Source organism: Homo sapiens, chromosome 12 (genome assembly GCF_000001405.40).
Source record: "Homo sapiens chromosome 12, GRCh38.p14 Primary Assembly".
In the NCBI taxonomy this organism is placed as follows: domain Eukaryota; kingdom Metazoa; phylum Chordata; class Mammalia; order Primates; family Hominidae; genus Homo; species Homo sapiens.
The window spans coordinates 26,829,672-26,851,815 of NC_000012.12; the positions used below are offsets into that span (position 1 = coordinate 26,829,672).

A 22,144-nucleotide genomic window follows, 5' to 3' on the forward strand; every position below is an offset into this window, starting at 1 on the left:
ATTCCAGTGAAGGCCAGGAAACTGCACCAGGGCACATCAGCAATGACTTTTACTACAACTGTCCTTTGAAAAGATGTTCAGAAGCAAGTACCAGGAGGGAGGCATGGTCATATCCAACCTCTGACTTCTGAAGTACTACAAAGTTATCTGAAACTCTGAGCAGTCTATCTCAGAAAAAGAATATCCAATCAAAGCACCAGGTTTCACCAATAGCAGCATTTCTTTTTGTTTTGTTTTGTTTGTTTTTTTTGAGGCAGAGTCTCGCTCTGTCCCCCAGGCTGGAGTGCAGTGGCGCAATCTCAGCTCACTGCAACCTCCGCCTCCCAGGTTCAAGTGATTCTCCTGCCTCAGCCTCCCGAGTAGCTGGGACTACAGGCGTCCGCCACCACGCCCAGCTAATTTTTGTATTTTTAATAGAGATGGGGTTTCCCCATGTTGGCCAGGCTGGTCTCAAACTGCTGACCTCAAGTGATCTGCCCGCCTTGGCCTCCCAAAGTGCTGGGATTACAGGCATGAGCCACTGTGCCCAGCCCAATGGCAGCATTTCTAAAGACCCTTCTTCACCTTAGAATCTAGCAGCACGAAGGCTTTGTCATATTAACTTCAACAAGACTCAGTTCATTAATAGAAAAACAATATATTGCACAAATGCATACTAAGGAAGCTCAACCTTCAAAACACCAACAAAAAAGTTGAATACAAATCAGAGATATTTACACAAATGTATATTGTACATTAAAGGTTAGTCTAGCTTATTTTTCTCAAGGTTTAAAGATTATTATGTATAACCAAAGAAAAGCACTCTTGGCTGGGAATCTGGAGACAGGATTAGGTTCCAGGTTTTGGCATTAATGCCCTCTGTTTCCTGGGTTAGTCACTTCATTTCTCTTAACCTCAATTCCTAATCTCTAAAATGATCAGGGTCGACTCCACAACTGTCAAACTTGTAGCTTCCTGATATGCCATCTATATAGTCCTTCTGGTATTTGTTTTATAAGTTATCCATAAGCATACATTTGCTGAATTAGACACTAAAAAAAAGTTCTTTTCTTTGTCTAGGTTTTATACTCTATTCCTAGTCCTTGTTATTATTTTGTCCACAAATATAACTATGGCTCACCGTCACCAAGGCAATGATAATTACTACAATAGCTAACACATCAGTGCTTATACTGTGCCAGGTACCATGCTACTCACTTTACATATATTAATCTCTTCTTCCTCACCACAACCCTATGAGGTAGAAACCATGCCTATTCCCATTTGTAGAACTGAGGAGACAGGGGCACAGAGTTTATGTAACTTTCCCAAGGTCATAAGGTTTACAAGTGGAAGCGCCAGAATTCAAACCCCAAGTATTCTGTCCATGGAACCCCCTCTGCTTAACTACTACATCACACACACACACCTGGAGAGTCTACGGAGGGTGAAGAGCAGCAGAGTCCACCTGCAAAATGTTGCTGGAGGCCCAGAAACTGAACTTGTATCATGAATGATCTCAAAAACAGTGGTAGCTCATGATTCACAAACCCAGCAGAAGCGCTTGGCACTAACGTGTTTTTCCTACCACGCTTTAGTTGCATAAGAAAGTAACACTGATGGAAAAGGGATTGAATTAAATCTACCTCCCTTCTTTCACTCATTAGGGGGAATGCACAAGTAACAGGAACTGTGGAAGTACTGGTGACTTCCACGTCCCAGTGCTTGGTAGGCAGCAGTCCGTTATAACACAGCTCGAAGTCACTGTCCCGGGTCGTTGCAGGTTAAGTCATCTGCCCCAAAGCCTAACAGCTGAAAACAGTAGCCAGACAGGAGTGGAAACACCAGTTCCACAGCCTGAAATGTAGGGCGGGGGGACCTAAGTGTTGAAACAACGAGGTAACAAAAAATTTCCTGTGCATCAAAATATACTGCAGCGTGCAATTAAACTGCACACTGCTATTCCCAATCAGAACAGAGAAAACAAGGAAGTCCTATTTAACCATTTGGCACACTGTTTTATATATAAATATATATATATATTCTACATAAAATATATAAATATATATTCTACATAAAATATATAAATATATATTCTACATAAAATATATAAATATATATTCTACATAAAATATATAAATATATATTATACATAAAATATATAAATATATATTATACATAAAATATATAAATATATATTATACATAAAATATATAAATATATTAATATATATTTCCCTCATTCATAAACATATATACATATATGTGTATATATATATATATTTTTCCCCCCATTCAACTCGAATCTCAAGAACTCTTCACTTGGCTAAATTCCAAGAGAGGCTCAGCATTTCAGTGGGCCAAGGCCTGGGAAGGAGAGATAGCAGGTCTGAGTTCTAGAACCCAGGAAGCCCTCAGAGACGTCCAAGGGCCACAGCGCTGCAGATGCCCCTAGGGCTGCCCAGGCCAGTGGGGCGAGTCCTGGTTCGGCAAGGCCAAAAGGAAACTGCTCCAGCGAAGAGGGGACGGTGAGCTCCTCCCGCAGGACAACGCCACACTTTGGCTCACCACATCGCTTGAGTTTCATGTCCAAGGCCACGGACTTTTATCGACTGCTCTTTCAAACCCGGCACTGAGAGACCAGGGGCTGAGGACGGTAGCGAGAAACGGTGGAAAAGGGGGGTGTTTTGTTTTACCTTCCAGGGAAAACAAGCACACATTTTAATCAAAACAACCCAGGGAGAAGCCAGCGAAGACCTCTTCGCCGGGCCCGTCTCCGGGCTTCTGAATCACTTCCTCCTTTCTGATGTGTCTCTGAGCTTGAGATTACGAAGTTGCTGAGAAAGTCTTGCCTCTCAGGGCAGCTTCCTGCGAGCGGGCGAGCGAGAGAGCGGAGCGCACGGCGCTGTCCGCGGGCGCCGACCCTGCCCGGCCGGGCCACCACGCGCGGCAGCGGGAGGACCGGGCGGCGGAGGAGGGACAGGGACTGGTTCCCAGGACCCGGAGCGCGAGCGCTGCCCAGCCCTCGTCTCCCGCTTACCCCAAGGTGCTGATGAAGCCGTTGACCGAGCCCTCCGCGTACAGGGACACGATGTCCCCTATGTAGAGGAAGCTGGACATTTTCTCAGTCATGCTGCTTCATGTTCCACAGTGGACGTCCCTCTTCTTCCCTGCGCCCTCGCCGCCCTCTCTCCAGGGAGCCGCCGCGGCAGAAGCGGATCGGATCGCGGGACTACAGCGGCCAAGAGCCGCGGCGGAGGGCACGGCCCGAGCCACTGAGCGTCGCGGCTCAGCCGTGCGTGCGCGCCGGGGAAGCCAGACCGGGGCCAAGCCGCAGCTGCGGACACCCCGCGAAGAGCGCAGCCCAGGCGCCCAGAGAAGCCGCAGCCGCCGCCGCCTCCCCGGCAGGTTTCCTGTTCCTTTCTGAAGTTTTCTCTCCAACACCTTTGCTCCTCCTCCTCCTCCTTCCCTCTCCGCTCCCCACTCCGTGTCCACTCCCTGCTCTGCGACCCGCTGCGGCCGTCACAGCCGCCCGGCGGGAGCTGGAAGTGGCCGAGCCCCCTCGGTCCCCTCAGGGGAATTTTTGGACCAGGTGCCGGTGCCCATTGGGCGAGGAGGAGGAGAGGAGCCCTGGAGAGGTGGGGGGGCGGCCAATCAGGGAGCAGCGGCCGGGGGCGGAGCTGGGCCGGGGCGGGGCGACCCTCGGGAGGCCGGGCCACCCGGGAAGCCTCTGCTGCCGCCGCACCGGCCCGCGCGGGGACGCGACGCTGGGCGGCGCTGGAGGGGCGGCGGGGGACCCCGGCGGGGGAGCGGGCGCGTGCGGCCGCCCTGGAGAGGCCGGACCTGGGGCGCGACAGTCGCTGCCTGGGAACTCGAAGAAGCTTGATGGGGGCAGGGAGGGTGAGAGGTGGCGGCCGGGCGAGCGCACTGTAGGACCCGAGCACAATGGAGAGAGCCCCCGAACTGCTGGAGATGAAAAGGTGGAGCCCCAGCGGGGTGGGTAATTTGCTGGCCAAGGAAGAGGTAGGCGTTGAAGTAAAGGAAAAAAATACAAATAAAAAATAAATGCATGATGAAGAAAGTAGAAGAGAGGAAGGAAGAGAGTGAGGGAAGGAGGATGATCTCGATTTCGTTATGTAGTTTGGGTGGTCTTTTTCCTCTTCTTTTCTCAAGTACGCGGCGTTAATGAAACTCGACCCGTCCGCTGATGTCCAGGTGGACGCGAGCCTCCAAGGAGGTAAACGTCACTTGGCCAAGCCAGTTTTTGTAGCCAACCTTCAGCGGTGAGGGCTCAGTGGAGCTGAGCTTTAAGCCTCCGAGGCCGCGCCTCCTGCGCTTCGTTAACTCCAAGCCGAGGTTAACCTTCCACCCCCATCAGCCCAAGGTCCCCGGCTCAAGACAACCCTGGCTTGTTTACGTTTAAAGCTGCTGACTCTTAAAGCTCCAGCCGTTATAAGCAAAACGCAGCTAGACACTTTTCCACGCCTTCTCTGTTGCTTCTGTAGCCCTCTTCTTAGAACATGATTTTAAAAGCCTTTTGCTCTTCCCTTCTAGAAGACACAGTGGAGGCAAACTGTATGGCGGTTTTGATACCAGCCACCTAATTTAAAAGTGCTACATAAGTAATCCCCACAGAGCAAAGTTTGTAGAAAGGCAGAGGAACTTGGGGTGTGCAGAAGCATGTTGTGTCAAATTGTGCAACTGACCAAAATGTAACTTACAGTCAGATGTCTTACATGTCTTACAGTTCAAAGATGGTTTAGATTGAGACTTATAATCACATAATAGAAAATGAAAGAATTAGCCCAGAATTCAAAAGGCCAGGCGCAGCGACTCACGCCTGTAATCCCAGCACTTTGAGAGACTGAGGCGGGAGGATCACTTGGGGTCAGGAGTTCAAGACCAGCTTGGCCAACATGGCGAAACCCCATCTCTACTAAAAATACAAAAATTAGCCGGACGTGGTGGCACAGGCCTATAATCCCAGCTACTCTGGAGGCTGAGGCAGGAGAATTGCTTGAAGCTGGGAGGCAGAGGTTGCAGTGAGCAGAGATGGCGCCACTGCACTCCAACCTGGGCGACAGAGCAAGACTCCGTCTCAAAAAAACAAAAGTTTGTGTTTAAAAAGCCTGCTAGATAGAAGGGAATAGACACTGAATCCAGGAAACACCAGTGCAAAGCCTGTGTGTGTTGAGATAAACTGGACCCAGTCATTGTAATAGCATGCAGCTGACAGATCTCCTTTTATGTGTCCTTCTTTGTAAAAAGTTACTTGACAACTTAGAAATGCCTGTTACATAATCCAGCCCTTCTCTGTCTACACACATTATATCACTGTTGGGGGCCACCAAGACATTGGGCATAGGAGTTATTAAAAAGCTGAGACAGAACAACATAGTGACCCTGGAAATGGAAGTTTCTGTTTATCCAAGAGATCTGTGCATTACATTGTATTGTTCCCCATATTGCACGGCACTACTGTGCTATACATCCAGTGGATGCTCAATTATTGATCAAAGTCATGAATGATCTTTGTTTTAAGTCACAAACTATCTGTGGCCAACACATACAAAATGAGTAGTGGTTGGCCAGGCACGGTGGCTCACGCCTGTAATCCAAGCACTTTGGGAGGCAGAGGTGGGGGGATCACCTGAGCTCAGGAGTTTGAGACCAGCCTGGCCAACATGGTGAAACCCCGTCTCTACTAAAAATACAAAAACGTTAGCTGGGTGTGGTGGTGGGTGCCTGTAATCCCAGCTACTTGGGAGGCTGAGGCAGGAGAATTGCTTGATTCTGGGAGGTGGAAGTTGCAGTGAGCCGAGATCGCGCCATTGCATTCCAGCCTGGGCAACAAGAGCGAAACTCCATCTCGAAAAACAAAACAAAATGAGTAGTGGTTGTTTATGCTAATGAACAGGTGCAAACTTCAAACCGTGTACCCAAATTATTGATCAAAATTGTGAATAATCTTTGTTTCAAGTCACAAACTATCTGCGGACAACACACACAAAATAAGTAGTGGTTGTTTATGCTAATGAACAGGTGCAAACTTCAAACCATGTACCCAAATCCAATGTCTTCCTTCCTCTTCACCCTGTCCCTACCACCCACCACTCAACACCCACAGAGGTATCCAATATAGTCTGGGGACTGGAGCTGGTCACTCTTCTGTGTTGGCATGGCAAAGATGGTTAGCTGGCCACAGAGAGGTGGCCTAAGGGGTGGCCAAGGGATTCATACAAAGTCTTGGGATCACTTTTTATTTGTTTCTCTACCTAGTTCTTCCTTTCTATTATCTCAAATATGTCTCTTTTTCACCTTCTCCTATATCATTGCCCTCTTCTACACAGTTGCCTGTTTCCACCCTTCCAGTCTCTCCCACTTGCTATCCCATAGCAAGCCAGAGCTTTATACTTACAAAGTTGATCTCATCAAAACTGCTCAAACCTCCAATGACAGCTTATTGTCTACAGTAAGGCCTACCTGCTGATGTGAGTGTTAGATGTGAACGTCAGTCACTCTAAATAGACTCTCCTATACTAAGAATATGAGACAGTTTGCCAAACCCTCACTCACCATGTCCTGTATTCCACACCATCCATGATCTGGTCTCCTTCTCCTTTTACAACCTGAGTTTCTGCCCTTCCATTCCTGGTATCCAGGAAAGCCAGACTTTTCACATGTAACCTGGCACTTTTAGTCTCATGTCTTTGAGTGTGATGTTCCCTCTTCCAGAAGTTCCTCTTCTCCCTTCTCCCACCTCTGCATGCCCAAGTTCTCCTTCCCCAGTGGAACTTCCTATATACTGCCAAGGCAAAGTTCTGCCTCCTCCTGAATTCCCATAGCCAGGCCAACTTGCCCCCTAACATTTGTGGGTTTCCATGCCGAGAGTATCAGAGGCCCTTATTACGTAGTCTAAATATTAAAGGTTGCTAATTAACTAATAAACTGTAAAAGGTGGTGTAGTGTAGAGAGAGTTGGCCCACGTTTCCAGCTTCTGTCTCTATACTTGGGGAAATGAATTTATGTATGAGATTCTGGGATCTTGGACACTCAGGACACAGTTTAGAAGCTAGAGGAGGAAGTTCAGGCTTCTGGTGAGCGTGTCCCCTTAATCCAGAAGATCCTGTAAAACTCAGAGCCCAGGTCAGGGACTCAGTTGCCTGGTCTAAGGGCACATACCTTTTAAGGTACCTCTCAACACTTTCCACCTTGCCTTCTTGTTATATCTGTACATCTTGAGTCTTACCAAACTAGAAACATCCTGAAAATGAGAACAGTGTCTAATTCATGTTTTACCCCTCATGGGGACTAGCAGTACCCATTTATGACTTCAATAAATATTTGGTAGATAAATGAAATAATAAATAATTTAGAATTTTTGAATGCTTAAATATGTTTATTACTTTGGATGATGAGAACAGTCCACCAAATGATATTCAAAAAGTCTCCTGTGCTGAGACTATGAGTCACTTCAGCAAAAGCCCAAGTTATCATGCCCTAAAAAACCCATAGGGAGAGATAATAAATAGAGCAGGATGTAATATTTGAAATGTTTACTCCCAAAGGATTGCCTATATTAAAAATAAGGTTTCAGTAACAAGTTCTTCTAGCGGAGATGTTTTCAGGGTAATTTACATTCAGTGTTCACTTGGATATCCTCAGATCAACACTAGAAGTGAAAGGGTTTGCAATCTATTATCTGTCAACTGAGTGTTTTGTGAATCCCTTTTCTTATTCCCTGCCTTGTAATAAATATAATCTTTTTTTGAGATGGAGTTTTGCTCTTTGTTACCGAGGCTGGAGTGCAGTGGCACGATCTCGGCTCACTGCAACCTCTGCCTCCTGGGTTCAAGCAATTCTCCTACCTCAGCCTCCTGAGTAGCTGGGATTACAGGCACCTGCCACCACGCCTGGCTAATTTTTGTATTTTTAGTAGAGATGGGGTTTCATCATGTTGGCCAGGCTGGTCTCGAACTCCTGACCTCAGGTGATTTGCCCACCTCAGCCTCCCAAAGTGCTGGGATTACAGACATGAGCCACTGCGCCTGGCCTAAATATAATTTTTAATAGTAACTGGTTTATTGAGCAGTCTGCTTCATGAGGTGCAAATAAAATATGGGGTTTTAAATCATTCCCTTTCAACAAAGGGAAATGTTCTATCAAATCTACATGTTCTGTCTTTTAATAATATTTCAAGGAGAGCTCTTAGATTTAGAGTCATTGTCATTTTTGGTTATTAAAAATACACACACATGACCGGGTGCGGTGGCTCACGCCTGTAATCCCAGCAATTTGGGAGGCCAAGGCGGGCAGATCACCTGAGGTAGGGAGTTCGAGACCAGCCTGGCCAACATGGTGAAACCCCATCTCTTCTAAAAATACAAAAATTAGCGGGGCCTGGTGGTGCATGCCTGTAATCCCAGCTACTCTGGAGGCTGAGGCACGAGAATCACTTTAACCCACGAGGTGGAGGTCGCAGTGAGCCGAGATCATGCCACTGCACTCCAGCCTGAGTGACAGAGCGAGACTCTGTCTCAAAACACACACACACACACACACACACACACACACACACACACATTCCAGACTTCCTTAGATCAATAGGCCAGCATCAGGGAGGGATGTGGTCTTCTCTTTTACTCCTTCCCTTACATCTTCACATTTTAGCTTCTTGGGTGTTGGGAAGGGAATGCAGGATCAGGATGAAATGAGCAAACATATCATTCTGACCTGGGTTTGCAATTTCAGTCCTCACGACTCCACTGCTCATCTAGTAAACTCTGACTGGTTGCAGAGGCCTTCTTGTCAGGTGGTTGTCAAATAGCAGTTCTATGCTGGGCATGTGGATGAAGATTTTAAAAGCTCTGAAAGACCTCGCAGTGCACAGTTCTTCGAAGTGGGAGAGCTTGCCCCAGCCTGACTTCTTCCCAACCCCTTCAGCTCCACCCCTGACACTATTATCCACAGGCCAACAAACCTCTTGGGTGGGTTCTAGCAAGTCTGGCCTCCTTTTGACCACATGAGATTTAGGCAGGGTCTGCTTCATGGTGTTGCAACCTGTGCAATAGCACAGGGCCCCATGATTGGTTTGATGTTTTGTTGGTGCTATCCTGAAATTCTTGATTATTTTTTAACAAGAGGCCCCACAATTTTATTTTTCACTGAGCCATGAAAATTTATGTAGGTAGTTCTGGATACAGGCATCCTTACCATGCCAAAGACTGGGCATGTAAACGGCTCCACTGATCCCCCTCATTCCATCAATGTTTCTATCAATCTCCAATTCCTTTTTCCCTACTCAGACAGATCAACAAATCTGACATACCAAATCACTTCCAATTAGAACATCCAAGGCCAGGCTCTTGTAGGTGAGAGGTGACAGTGTGCTGGCAGCCCTAGCTCGCTCTCAGCGCCCACTCTGGCTGCGCTTGAGGAGCCCTTCAGCCAGCCGCTGCACTGTGGGAGCCCCTCTCTGGGCTGGCCGAGGCCGGAGCCAGCTCCCTCTGCTTGCTGTGGGGTGTGGAGGGAGAGGCGCGGGCGGCAACCGCGGCTGCAGTGCACTTGTGGGCCAGCTCGAGTTCCGAGTGGGCATGGGCTGGGCGGACCCGCACCCGGAGCAGCCGGCCAGCTCCGGCCCCGGGCAATGAGGGTCTTAGCACCTGGGCCAGCAGCTGCGGAGGGTGCGCCGGGTCCCCCAGCAGTGCCAGCCTGCCAGCTCTGTGCTCGAATTCTCACCGGGCCTCAGCTGCCTCCCTGTGGGGCAGGGCTTGGGACCTGCAGCCCACCATGCCCAAGGAAAAATCTCTGCTACTCCTCACTAGGCCAAAAATGAACAACTCTGCTAATTCACCATAATCAATTTGTATTCAGTGTGGAGAGTTTTGTGAATTTGCTCTCTAATAAATATACATTAGTCACGTATACCTCCTGTTGTGAAATGTTGGACTAAAAATGTGTCCTTAAGGCCTCTGGGTCAAAGCTAAAAGGAAAAAGGTGGGCGGGATAGGGGAGAATGTAACCATCTCAGCCACTATCATCTTAACAGTCATGTGAGACAGATCCTGTGGCCATTTCCCCTATCCCCAGCCACCTTTCCCCCATAGTGTAACAGCCCAATGGGGTTAACCCCACCCCCAACTCCAAGCATGGTTCTTAACTAGGCTAAACCAGTGTTTCTCAAGCTTTAGTACACATAAGAACCGCCTGGAGAACTTGTTAAAACACAAATCCTTGGGCCTTAGCTCCTGAGATTCTGATTTAGCTTGTCTTGGTGGGGACTTACTAACATTCCTGAAGGGGGTGATTGTATGTCGGTAGGGGTTGGGGAGAAGAGGTTGAAACAAACCTTGGCTAGTGGCTCAGAAAATGATCTGTTTTTAATTTTTATTTTGAAATAACCTCAAACTTACAGAAATAATCTCCAATTTACAGAAAAGTTATAAGAATACCTGTGACCTAAATTCAGTAATTTTTATAATTTGCCACATTTGTTTTATCACTGCCTTTACACACGTACGCATGCAATTTATTTTCAGAACCATTTGAGTGTAGGTTGCATACATCATGCCCTATTGCCTTTTAATACTTCATGTATACCTAAGAACAAAGATATAGCCACAGAACAACCATCGAGTTCAGGAAATTTAACTCTGATATACCACTGTCTCAATAGTGTCTTTTACATCATTTTTTTCTTCCAGGACAGAATCCTATTTAGAATTACATATAGCATTCAGTTTTCATGTTTTTTTTGTCTCTTTTAATCTATAACAATTCCTTAGCCACACTTTGGCTTCAGTGACATTGACATTTTTTAAGAATACAAGCCATCTGGCCAGGCACAGTGACTCACGCCTGTAATCCCAGCACTTTGGGAAGTCGAGGCGGGCAGGTCACTGGAGGTCAGGAGTTTGAGATCATCCTGGCCAACATGGTGAATCCCCGTCTCTACTAAAAATACAAAAATTAGCTGGGCGTGGTGGCAGGCACCTGTAGTCCCAGCTACTGAAGAGACTGAGGCAGGAGAATTGCTTGAACCCAGGAGGTGGAGGTTGCAGTGAGCTGAGATCGCGCCACTGCACTCAGCCTGGATGACAGTGCAAGACTCTGTCTCAAAAAAAAAAAAAAAAAACAGAAAAAAAAAACAGAAAAAAGAATACAAGTCATTTACTTATAGGCTGTTCCATAATTGGATTTGTCTTGTATTTCACACTTAGATTTGATGAAGCATTTCTAGCCAGAATACTACAAAAGTGATTTTGTGTTCTTCCCAGGGCACCCTAACCTTAGGCACACGATGTATAGCTATATCTGCTCTTTGTTGACAGTGTCAGTTTTGATCACTCTCAGAGTGTTGTCTAGTGGACAGGAATTTAAGAATAATCCCAAACCAGATCTGTTTTGAAGATGTGGCCCAGAAGAAACAATCTTAGCCTGGGAAAACTCTGGAAATGCAGGCCAATCTCCAGGCAACAAAAAGTCTGACATTCATCTCAAAAATATTGTCTATCACATCTTTTGACCCTTAACCTCTCTGTTTCCAAAGCCAGAGTTTGACATCAATCTACTGTGTTTCCCTACCTGCAGGAGACAAATATAAGCTTTCCATGTGGTGCCTTTGAAGTTCTTCTCACTAGATTAGATCTGAGAGTCAAAGACTTCCCTCCCCATGACTGACACACACACACACGCACACACACATGCATGCACACGTTCTTCTCTCCTGCACTGGGTATGTACGGCGTGAGACGCAACAGAGCAGTAGCTCATTCCAAAACACTCACATCTCCAACAGCCCAACTGTTTCATATCCTTGGTCTGGGAGAAAGATTTTTAAGCATTGTATCCCTTGTGGTCAAATATTTCCTTTCAAAATTTGCATCTTGGTCTTACTGATGGTATTTCGATGCCTCCACTGAAACTCCCAACTTCACATCCCATTAAAATATTCTTCTGAATATTATATATATTCACCATAATCATATGGTGAATATTATATATATATATTATTTGAGGGTCACAGTTCTTAGAAGTATTTACACTACTTGCTGCTGAATCGCTTATGGCTTGATCTGACCCTAATGTCATAATTCTGTAAGGGCTTGGAAATGAAAAAGAGGAGAGGTGTTGTAATTAGAAGTATTTTATGAAGAACTGATACAACTGATACCATTTGGTTCTAAGAACCATGATCAATTAGAGCTGAGAATCATCAAAATATTGAAGAAAAGAGAAAATGGCCCAGTCTCTATAACAGAAAAGAATGGGGAGTTTTAAGAAAAAAATGAGCCAGTCACTGTGGTTCACACCTGTAATTCCAGTTCTCTGGGAGGCCAAAGTAGGCGGATTGCTTGAGCCCAGGAGACCAACCTGGGCTGCATGGCGAAACCCCATCTCCACCAAAAATACAAAAATTAGCCAGGCGTGGTGGTGCATGCCTATAGTCCCAGCTACTCAGGAGGCTGAGGCGTGAACCCGGGAGACAGAGATTGCAGTGAGCCAAAATCACGCCTCTGTGCTCCAGACTGGACGGCAGAGTAAGACCCTGTCTCAAAAAAAAGTATGCATATCTAAAATCTTGCCTACTTCAATTTGCAGTGATTCTTCCCCAAATACAATTTAATGTTCCCATGTAGATGTCAGAAAGCATTTATCAGGCACTTAAATGAATCCCATACCTGTATGCCACAATAGTTAAGGACACAAGTATTGCATAGACCTGGGATGAGTTACTAATTCACAATTTACTCTCTACCAGGCTTTATGCAAATACATAACCTCTGGGGCCTCGTTTTACTTATCTGTAAAATGAGGACAATAATGGTATCTATCTCATGTGGTCTTTGTGAGGTTTAAATTAGAAGTTACATTTAAGGGGCTTGATGTGGTGCCTGGCATAAAGTGCTTAATAACCTTTCATGTTTTTTGTTTTGTTTTGCTGTTTTTTAGAGAGAGGATCTCACTCTGTCATCCAGGCTGAAGTGCAGTGGTGCAGTCATAGCTCACTGCATCCCAGAATTCCAGGGTCAAGCAATCCTTTGGCTTCAGCCTCTCAAGGAGCTAGGACTACAAGGCATAAACCACCACATCCAACTTCAATAAATATTAGCTATTATTATGATTATGATTATCTGTGAGAAAAGCAGCATGAAATGTCATAAGAAAACCAAGCATCAGAGGTGTTTCTGTCTATGCAATAAGACATGCCAGTGACTGAGCCCACACCAGAGCTGTCTCCAGAGCCTCTGGGCCACCAGCTCTGCCATTTACAGATCAATCCCTTCCATCAACTGTAGCGAATTCTTTTTTTGTTGTTTTTTGTTTTTGTTTTTTGTTTTTTGTTTTAAGATGAGTCTTGCTCTGTCGCCTAGGCTGGAGGGTAGTGGTGCCATCTCAGCTCACTGCAACCTCCGCCTCCCAGGTTAAAGTGATTCTCCTGCCTCAGCCTCTGGAATAGCTGGGATTACAGGCCCCCACCACCATACCCAGCTATTTTTTGTATTTTTAGTAGAGACCAGGTATTGCATGTTGGTCAGGCTGGTCTTGCACTCCTGGCCTCAAGTGATCTACCCGCCTCTGCCTCCCAAAGTTCTGGGATTACAAGCATGAGCCACACTGAGCCAGGGCAAAATTCTTGATAATTATTAAATTTTTCTTTTTCAAGGAATTTGAATTTTTTAAAAAATATGTGTAAGAGAAAGAAATCAATTTTTTTAACAGACACGTTTCAGACATCAGGGAAAAGCAAATTTTGAGACAAAAGAAACAAAATGGCTAAATTTCCAGCCTGGTGCTATAAAACCACCCACAATTGTCACATGAGAACTCTGCTTTCCACAAGCTGACAGCTTTTTATCTCTTCAAAGAAGGTAGCGGATAAAACCCACAGAGAAAACTGCCATCTAACACCAGAGAATGCTGCCATGCTTGTGGTTCCTGATTTTTGGGAAGACATAATACTTTGGTTGGGCAAAACCAGGGAGAATAAATCCAGGGAAAACTTCCTGGAGTCCTTTTTCTCACCCCTGTGATTCCCCCAAGTTTACCTTTGTTTTCTCTCATTTATGAATCTAGTTTGAAATGCAGTAATGTGGGTCTACTTTAGTGCATTATTTCGGATGTATACATCCTGATTACCCAACTAATTAGCATCAATTTGTTTAAGGCAAGAACTCTGAGTTGTACTTTTTGTTTCAGAGTGAACACCTAGATGTGAAGGAAGCTGTTTTGTACCTGTTTTTTGTACCTATAGGCACAGTACCACAGTCTACAGTCCTGATTATTTGTAAGAACTCAATATATAAAAAAGAAAGTATAAGAAATCAATGGGAAAGCATGAGATTATACAAGAAATGATGTTATTTACTTACATGGAGAATACTAGTTTAGCAGTTTTAAGCTATCACGTATCTTAAAAATAAATCCAGGGCCAGGTGCAGTGACTCACGCCTGTAACCCCAGCACTTTGGGAGGCCAAGGTGGAAGGATCACTTGAGGTCAGGAGTTTGAGACCAGTCTAGGCAACATAGCCAGACCCCATCTTAAAAAAAAAAAAATTTAATTTAAAAAATTTTAAAAACTACATCCATAGTCCCAGTTACTCAGAGGCTGAGACAGGAAGATCTCTTTAGCTCAGGAGTTTGAGGCTTCAGTGAGACATGATGGTGCCACTGCACTCCAGCCTGGGTGACACAGTGAGACCTTGTCTCAAAAATAAATTAATTAATTTTATATTTAATGACTTAATGTATTCATCTGAATTCAAAATTCACCAAAATAAAGGGAATTGAATATTTACCATCTTAAGAACAGGGGATACCTATGCTTAGAAATACATATGCATTAATATAAAAACATAAAGCAAATTATGAAGTAAGTTTAATTCTTACAACTTTAAATTTTTATGTAAAAATTCTAACACCAGTAAGGGAAGGGGAAAGGGTGAGTGAAGGGAACAAAAAGCGATATAAATGTGTTTACTACCACTGAACTGCATACTTAAAATGGTAAAGATGGTAAATTATATATGTATTTTTTCTTCTATTTTTAAAATGTAACAAAAAACTCAACTGAAAGTAAAACAACAAAGTGGGAATAGTTTGCAACAAATATTATAGGCAAAAGGTTGGTTATAGGCAAAAAAATAAAAGTAATATAATAGTGAGATATCATTTCTCATGCATTAGATTAGCAAAATAAAAGTTTTTAGTTATTGTAACCAATGCTGTTAGTCAAACAGCCAATATCATATTTTGTACAACCATTTTAATGGCAATGTGGACATATGGAATATAACCTAAAGAAATAATCCTATGTATGAAAAGTGCTTTATTCACAATTATGTTTATCATAGTAATAATAATAAGCATGGAGAAGAAAATAAATATTGAACAGTAGCAAATTAGTGATTACACTGTAGCAGCTGCCAGGGAGTATAGTAAGCAATTCTTACTAAGAATATGTAATAATATGTAAAATGATTTATATGATGACTTTATTTTTATTTTTTTATTTTTTTTTATTTTTTTGAAACGAAGTTTTGCTCGTCGCCCCGGCTGGAGTGCAGTGGCACGGTCTTGACTCACTGCAACCTCCGCCCCCTGGAGGCCACAATTTCTCCATTCCCAGTTGTCCGGGATATTTTCTCCTAGAGTTGTTCCATAATTGCCTGTGTCTCTGATACTAGGGATTCTTAATATATGTCATATACTCAGCCTCCTGAGTAGCTGGGATTACAGGCACCCACCACCACGCCCAGCTAATTTTTGTATTTTTAGTAGAGACAGACAGGGTTTCACGTTAGCCAGGCTGGTCTCGAGCTCCTGACCTCAGGTGATCCACCCACCTCAGCCTCCCAAAGTGCTGGGATTAAAGGTGTGAGCCATCTCGCCCTGCCTATATGATGACTTTAAAAGCAAGATTGAATCACTAGGGAAAAAACAATAATCAACAAAAAATACTACTATAATAAAACTATGGTAATTTTTTCTCCTTTCTTCTTTTAGAGAGGATCTATTTTTTAAAGAAAAATATAAACTGTTCCACAATAAATGGCATTTGCTTTTAAGAAAAAAAAATTCCCCCCAAAATTATAAGGAAGGCTTTTTCCAGCAAAATCTGATAATGGCACAGTAGAGTGAGGGCAGAGCAGTAAAAGAGGGAATCATTAGTTTCCGCTGCGCAGAAGACATGATGGGAAATTCCCTCTCGGTGTTTTAATTGATCTTTTCCTATAGGTGCATATTTTTAAGAAAATGATTATCATGTTCTTTGTAATGAAATCATAAGGACAGCACATACAGCTTCGTGGCGTTTTAGCAATTCATTTTTCCTGGGCCAGTATCTCCTGGCATCTTTCAGAATATCTCAGAGGAAAAAAGTACATGTGGAAATTCAAGAAGCCAGTAGAATTTGAATCCACCCTTCCTGGCAGAAACAGATTTCTGAAGATTGGAATGTAGTTCTCCATGACAACCTTATCAGTGTCTGGTGTCTGCTTATTTCTGAGTACCATGTTCCAGGAAAGTGTTGCAACTAAACTTGTTACCATTTTTGCGGTAGCTATGAGCTCCCGGCTAAGCACAGATGTGGCCTCGCTCACCGTTACAATCTCTGCTTATCAAACTGGAGCAGGCTTTGCATTGAATAAAGCTTGCAATAAATGATACAGAGACACTGACAGAGAGGTAAGATGCTAAACTCTTTTCAATAGGAGCTTTTTAGAGATAAGTCAAATATATGGACCTAAACTTAGCTCCCCAAGCTCTTCCAAATCAGCTTCCATCTACTCTGAAGAATGTTCTAAGACAGGTGTGAATCTAATCCAGTATTTTTCCATTGAAATAGGTTTACACTAGAGAAAACTCGAAATTTTTTTCAAATAGTACGAATATACCCATCACAGCTGCTTCACACGGACTTTCATTTCCCTGAAATGATAGACACCTGCTCCATACGTCACTTCCTACCCATATTTGTATGTAAACTGAGATAACAGGACACCAGGTTTTGAATATGTGCTCACTTCCTTGAGACTATTTAAGCATCTGTATTGTGGAATTTCTGAAAGAAAGTGTAAATGGCAATGTGTGGAACTAAAGGGTAGGCAGGTAGATTAAGCAGTAGATTAAGCCAGCAGTAACTGTTCTGTTTGCTTCCGAAAAGCATGCTATTTTACCCACAGGCCACAGTTTCTCCATTCCCAGTTGTCCAGGATATTTTCTCCTAGAGTTGTTCCATAATTGCCTATGTCTCTGATACTAAGGATTCTTAATATATGTCATTCCTCCAACACACAGGCATACACACATCCATATAAAGTTCTATTATATTGGTTTTTCAGCAACTATATTAAAAATCTACATTGGGCCGGACGCGGTGGCTCACGCCTGTAATCCCAGCACTTTGGGAGGCCGAGGCGGGCGGATCACGAGGTCATGAGATCGAGACCATCGTGGCTAACACGGTGAAACCCTGTCTCTACTAAAAATAATAAAAAAAAAAATTAGCCGGGTGCAGTGGTGGGCGCCTGCAGTCCCAGCTACTCGGGAGACTGAGGCAGGAGAATGGCGTGAACGTGGGAGGCGGAGCTTGCAGTGAGCCGAGATAGCGCCACTGCAGTCAGGCCTGGGCGAAAGAGCGAGACTCTGTCTCAAAAAAAAAAAAAAAAAATTCTATATTAACTTTACTTTCACTCTTAAAGTTTAAAATTATCATCTGGTTGTTAGTCATTAGTATTTTCTTCTAACTTGATGTTTATCTAACTTTTTTTTTTCCTTATAGATTTTCTTCTTGTCAGCCTATTCTTCGACCAAAGATGAATATTTTGGGAGAGAGATCTCTTTCTCTCTACTCTCACCCTGCTAAGACACATCCCATCAATCCAAACAGCATCAGTCATCAGGCACCATTCATGGTTTTGGTTTGTTTTTTGTTTTTAAAAACAAGGTCTCACTCTGTTGCCCAGGCTGGAATGCAGTGGCCCAATCACAGTTCACTGCAGCCTTGAATTCCTGCGCTCAAGCGATCCTGTGCCTCAGCCTCCTGAGTAGCTGGGACTACGGGTGCACACCACTATTCCCAGCCATCGTGGTTGTTTCTATTGGGTTGGTGCAAAAGTTACTTTTAATAGCAAAACTGCAATAACTTTTGCACTAACCTAATAATATAGCTTTTGTCTAAGTCAGTGTTGCATTAGATGCTTTCACCTTAGTCCACTTTTTCTTTTTTTCTTTTCTTTTTTTTTTTTTTTTGAGACAGGGTCTCCCTCTGTTGCCAAGGCTGGTGTGATCAAGACTCACTGCAGTCTCAACCTCCTGGGCTCAAGCAATTCTCCTACCTCAGCTTCCTAAATAGCTGGGAACACGAGCATAACACCACCACACCCGACTAACTTTGTTTATTTTTTGTAGAGGCAGGGTCTCACCATGTTGCCCAGGCTGGTCTCAAGCTCCTGGGCTTGAGCAATCCTCCCACCTCAGCCTCCCAAAATGCTGGTACTATAAATGTAAGCCACCACGTCCAGCCTCCACTTCTTAATATTCACCCGTTTCTTCCCCCACACTAATAAAAATATCAGCTTTCATTTTTCTCTAAACTGGTGTGCACCATGACTGGGTCAACTTGTAGCCAATCAGGTACAGGATTTGGGGGGGAAAAAACTATGTTATCATCTGACAATGTTCTATTCATAAAGCAAGCAGATATGAACATTTTAATGCTTTAAAATGTAACTGGTCTGTGGTGGCTTACATCTGTAATCCCAAGCCTTGGGCAACATAGTGAAACCTTGTCTTTACAAAAAATAAACAAAATAAGCTTGGCATGGTGTTGCGCACCTATAGTCCCAGCTATTCAGGAGATCGCACCGCTGCACTCCAGCGTGAGGGATACAGCCAAACCCTGTCTCAAAAATAAATTGAATAATTAGTACCTGTTTATTGAAAGTTAATGGGATATACTGGCAGTCATTTTACTCATGCAGCAAATATTTATTGAGCAACTACTGTGTGGCAATCATTATGTTAAGTGGTAGTTATACATGATCCTGCAAGGAGTTGGACTTAACTATCCCTTATAAAACATCAGACCATTTTTGTAAGCCATGTAGAATGGTCTAAGGGGAAAAGGAAAAATTAATATTAATTTTTTATGAATTACACAGTCCAGTTACATCTTGTTTGATGATTGACATCTAAAATCAGAATTAAAGTAAAAACTGAATTAACTAAAGAACAAAACTTTTTTATTTTTTTTGAGAGTCTCACTTTTCATACAGGCTAGCATGCAGTGGTGCCATCACGGCTCACTGCAGCCTCAACATCCCTGGCTCAAGTGATCTTCCCACCACAGCCTCCTGAGTAGCTGGGACCACAGGTGTGCACCACCATGCCTGGCTATTTTTTTTATATATTTTGTAGAGACGGAGTCTAATTATGTTGCCCAGGCTGAAAAAATTACCTTTTAAGCATTAGAATCTCATCAAGAACCGTCAGGTACTCACACTCCCAAAGGCATGGTGCCTACTGAGACAAAATAGCAAATGAACAACTCCCTTCTCATGTTCTTTCCAGGAGCTAACCCTAGTGAGAAGCAGGCAAAATCTCCTCCACTACTAAAATGGTTATTTTCCTCTTTATTTTCTAAACAAAATGTTAAGCCGAATTAAACTGGACTGTGCTTCAACTTCACAATAAAAATTAAGCCCCTGAATTTCTTGAGCTGCCACATTCCAGTAACAGGGAGATATGGTCATATATGTTGTTAAAAAGCACGTGGTGGGGTGGAGGAAATAAGAGTTTAGAAAACCAATACTCTGAGGGGGAAAAAAAAGAATCAAACCATACATGGTCATTTATAAACAATAAGTATAATGACACACGTCCTCCAAGTCATACATGCCAAAAAAAACCCTCAAAACGTAATATTTTAAGAAAATTATTAATTGTAGAGACTATCAATTACAGAAAAGGTAGGTGAGTTATTTGTATTAAATAGAAGAATGTTAAATATTTTCAATCACAAAATATATTAACAGCCTGGGCAACATAGCAAGACCCTGTCTCTACAAAAAATTTTCTTTCAATTAGACAGGCATGGTGGCGTGTGCCTGTAGTCCCAGCTACTCAGGGGGCAGGGGCAGAAGGATTGCTTGAGCCCAGGTGTTTGAGGCTGCAGTGGGCTTTGATGGGACCAGGCACCACTGCACTCCAGACTGGGTGCTGACAGAGCAAGATCCTCTCTCCAAAATATATATATGTATATATATATATATATATTAGCTCAACAAAATAGCTAAGCAATAAGGTTCAGCATTTCTGTAAACAGTATTTTCTACTTATAAAAGCCAATTTTTTTATTATCTGTTTTCATTATTCATCCCAAATTGAAATAGATGCATAGTGTTTGCTTCGTGTGTGTGAACATCTTATAATCGAATATTATTTTGGAAGTGTATTTTTAATATAATGACACTTGCAAATGTGTTTTATGACTTCTAAAGAAGGCAAAATTATGAATTTCTAAAAAGTTTTACAGACTTAAAATTTGCATATTAATTTTAATCAGATATATGGTATATTTTGGGTTCATGTCATATTTGCAAAAATTGCCGTTGAGGGTACACAGTTGGTCTTATGCCTTTTTAAAGTTAGTCTGTAGTAATGTGGATAATAAAGAAATGTTTGCAAAGCCAAACCAAAGCAGAAAATTGTAGTAATTATCAAATCAGCATATGTCACTTATCATCAACTACCTATTGTTCATTGGCAATGTTCAACTCACCTGCACTCATTGAAGCCCAGCAAGGAAAAAAACCTCCGTATCACAATCCCTTCTCAATAACATGGTCTATGTATAAAGACACAGACTTGTGTAAATATTAATATTAAACATAAATTCTAATAACAAAATTATCAGCCTAACCTAATAAGGACTGCTTAGAACAACTTTGCCACTTATCACATATTTTAATAATTTTTAGAATTTTCAGAATTACTTTCGTACTCAGTTGAACTGTACTCAAATAGGTACAGTGAAGAAAGGGGGGAAATGCTGTCATTATAGGTCTGAAAATAAGAAGGATAAGAGTAAATGCAAGCAAGACTGAGAGGTATATAATTAAATTACTAGAATTTGTTTCTTTGGTGACATTTCTGGGCAAAGAAAATAAAGAGTATTTTCTCAATTATTATCAATCTCCTAATTTGTAATGAAAAACACCCTAAGAGCTTCCAGCTGTGTACTTAGCTTGTCCACCATTGGATTTTTTATCTTCATTCTGAGTTAACAGAGGAATTTCTCAAATTGGACTTTATTAGCAGAAAATGTAACTGTTCTCTATGTGGGACAATGCCAAAGTTTATATTGCCAAATTCCATGTAATCTAGAGGAAATTACCATGTAAATTTGCAACAAATTATGTTTAAAGATCAAATCTATATTCCTGGAAGACATTCTGTAATGTCACCATTAACTTTAAAATGAAAATTCTTGTATGTCACTATAACACTTGACTATTCCAGACGAACAGGAAATTCCTTATTCATCGGTTTGTTCAACATACTGCATAGTCCAAGATGTATTATAGGAGTAGAGGGTGTGCCTGAGAGAAGTGAAAGGAATCAATGATCATGAACTTTATATTACTCAATCCTAGTATGAGAACTGACTGAATGAACAAAATTAATTATCTTTAATGTCCCTAAAATAGCAATAATAAGGTGACTATTTCTATAGATAACCTTCAGTTAATATTTTTAAATTATTTAAGATTTTGTAGGTAAATGAAAACACTTAGTTTTGTGGATGTTTCTGTTGGTGTTTACTAACAATGCAAAACAAGGTGGAGAACTGAAGCAGCTCTCTGGATGATTCATGCCCTATGAAATAGCCAATTTCTTGAGTTTAAGCTTAGGTATGTGCTTTCCTTTCTATTTTGTTGTTTTGTTTGAACTCAATTTTCCTATTGATTTTGCAAACAGGACACTCCCAGACTTGGTAACATCTCCACACCTAGATGAATATCATCTTTTTCCCAATGTGGAAATGAAAAAACTAAGGACCAAACAAATTGGGTGACTCATCCATAAATCAGAAATTAAATCATAATTTTCTTTTTCAAATCTATCTTTTCATTGTTAATCCTAATTGTAGTAACTATGCCT

At 42.7% G+C, this 22,144-nt stretch overlaps 1 protein-coding gene across 8 annotated transcripts in view, besides 5 other annotated features; it reads right to left on the bottom strand.

The window, feature by feature from the left end:
• ITPR2 (inositol 1,4,5-trisphosphate receptor type 2) overlaps positions 1-3,523 on the bottom strand; it is a 497,843-nt gene extending 494,320 nt beyond the window's left edge. For all 8 annotated transcript variants that reach the window (XR_001748686.3, XR_001748687.2, NM_001414174.1 and 5 more), the window contains exon 1: positions 3,019-3,523. Coding sequence is in view for 5 of the 8 variants with exons in the window: in NM_001414174.1 (NP_001401103.1) it covers positions 3,019-3,110 (92 nt within the window). In the remaining 3 variants the exon portion in view is untranslated. The remainder of the gene's footprint in view (positions 1-3,018) is intronic.
• Positions 2,499-2,628: an enhancer, noted in NCBI's record as "active region_6128". NCBI's record gives its function as "activates an Ori minimal core promoter by ATAC-STARR-seq in GM12878 lymphoblastoid cells {active_cell/tissue: GM12878}" and the evidence as "EXISTENCE:reporter gene assay evidence [ECO:0000049][PMID:35858748]".
• Positions 2,849-2,958: a silencer, noted in NCBI's record as "silent region_4303". NCBI's record gives its function as "represses an Ori minimal core promoter by ATAC-STARR-seq in GM12878 lymphoblastoid cells {active_cell/tissue: GM12878}" and the evidence as "EXISTENCE:reporter gene assay evidence [ECO:0000049][PMID:35858748]".
• Positions 3,239-3,338: a silencer, noted in NCBI's record as "silent region_4304". NCBI's record gives its function as "represses an Ori minimal core promoter by ATAC-STARR-seq in GM12878 lymphoblastoid cells {active_cell/tissue: GM12878}" and the evidence as "EXISTENCE:reporter gene assay evidence [ECO:0000049][PMID:35858748]".
• Positions 3,499-3,868: a silencer, noted in NCBI's record as "silent region_4305". NCBI's record gives its function as "represses an Ori minimal core promoter by ATAC-STARR-seq in GM12878 lymphoblastoid cells {active_cell/tissue: GM12878}" and the evidence as "EXISTENCE:reporter gene assay evidence [ECO:0000049][PMID:35858748]".
• Positions 15,405-15,699: a silencer, noted in NCBI's record as "tiled region #14818; HepG2 Repressive non-DNase unmatched - State 12:CtcfO". NCBI's record gives its function as "represses a minimal TATA promoter and a strong SV40 promoter by Sharpr-MPRA in HepG2 cells {active_cell/tissue: HepG2}" and the evidence as "EXISTENCE:reporter gene assay evidence [ECO:0000049][PMID:27701403]".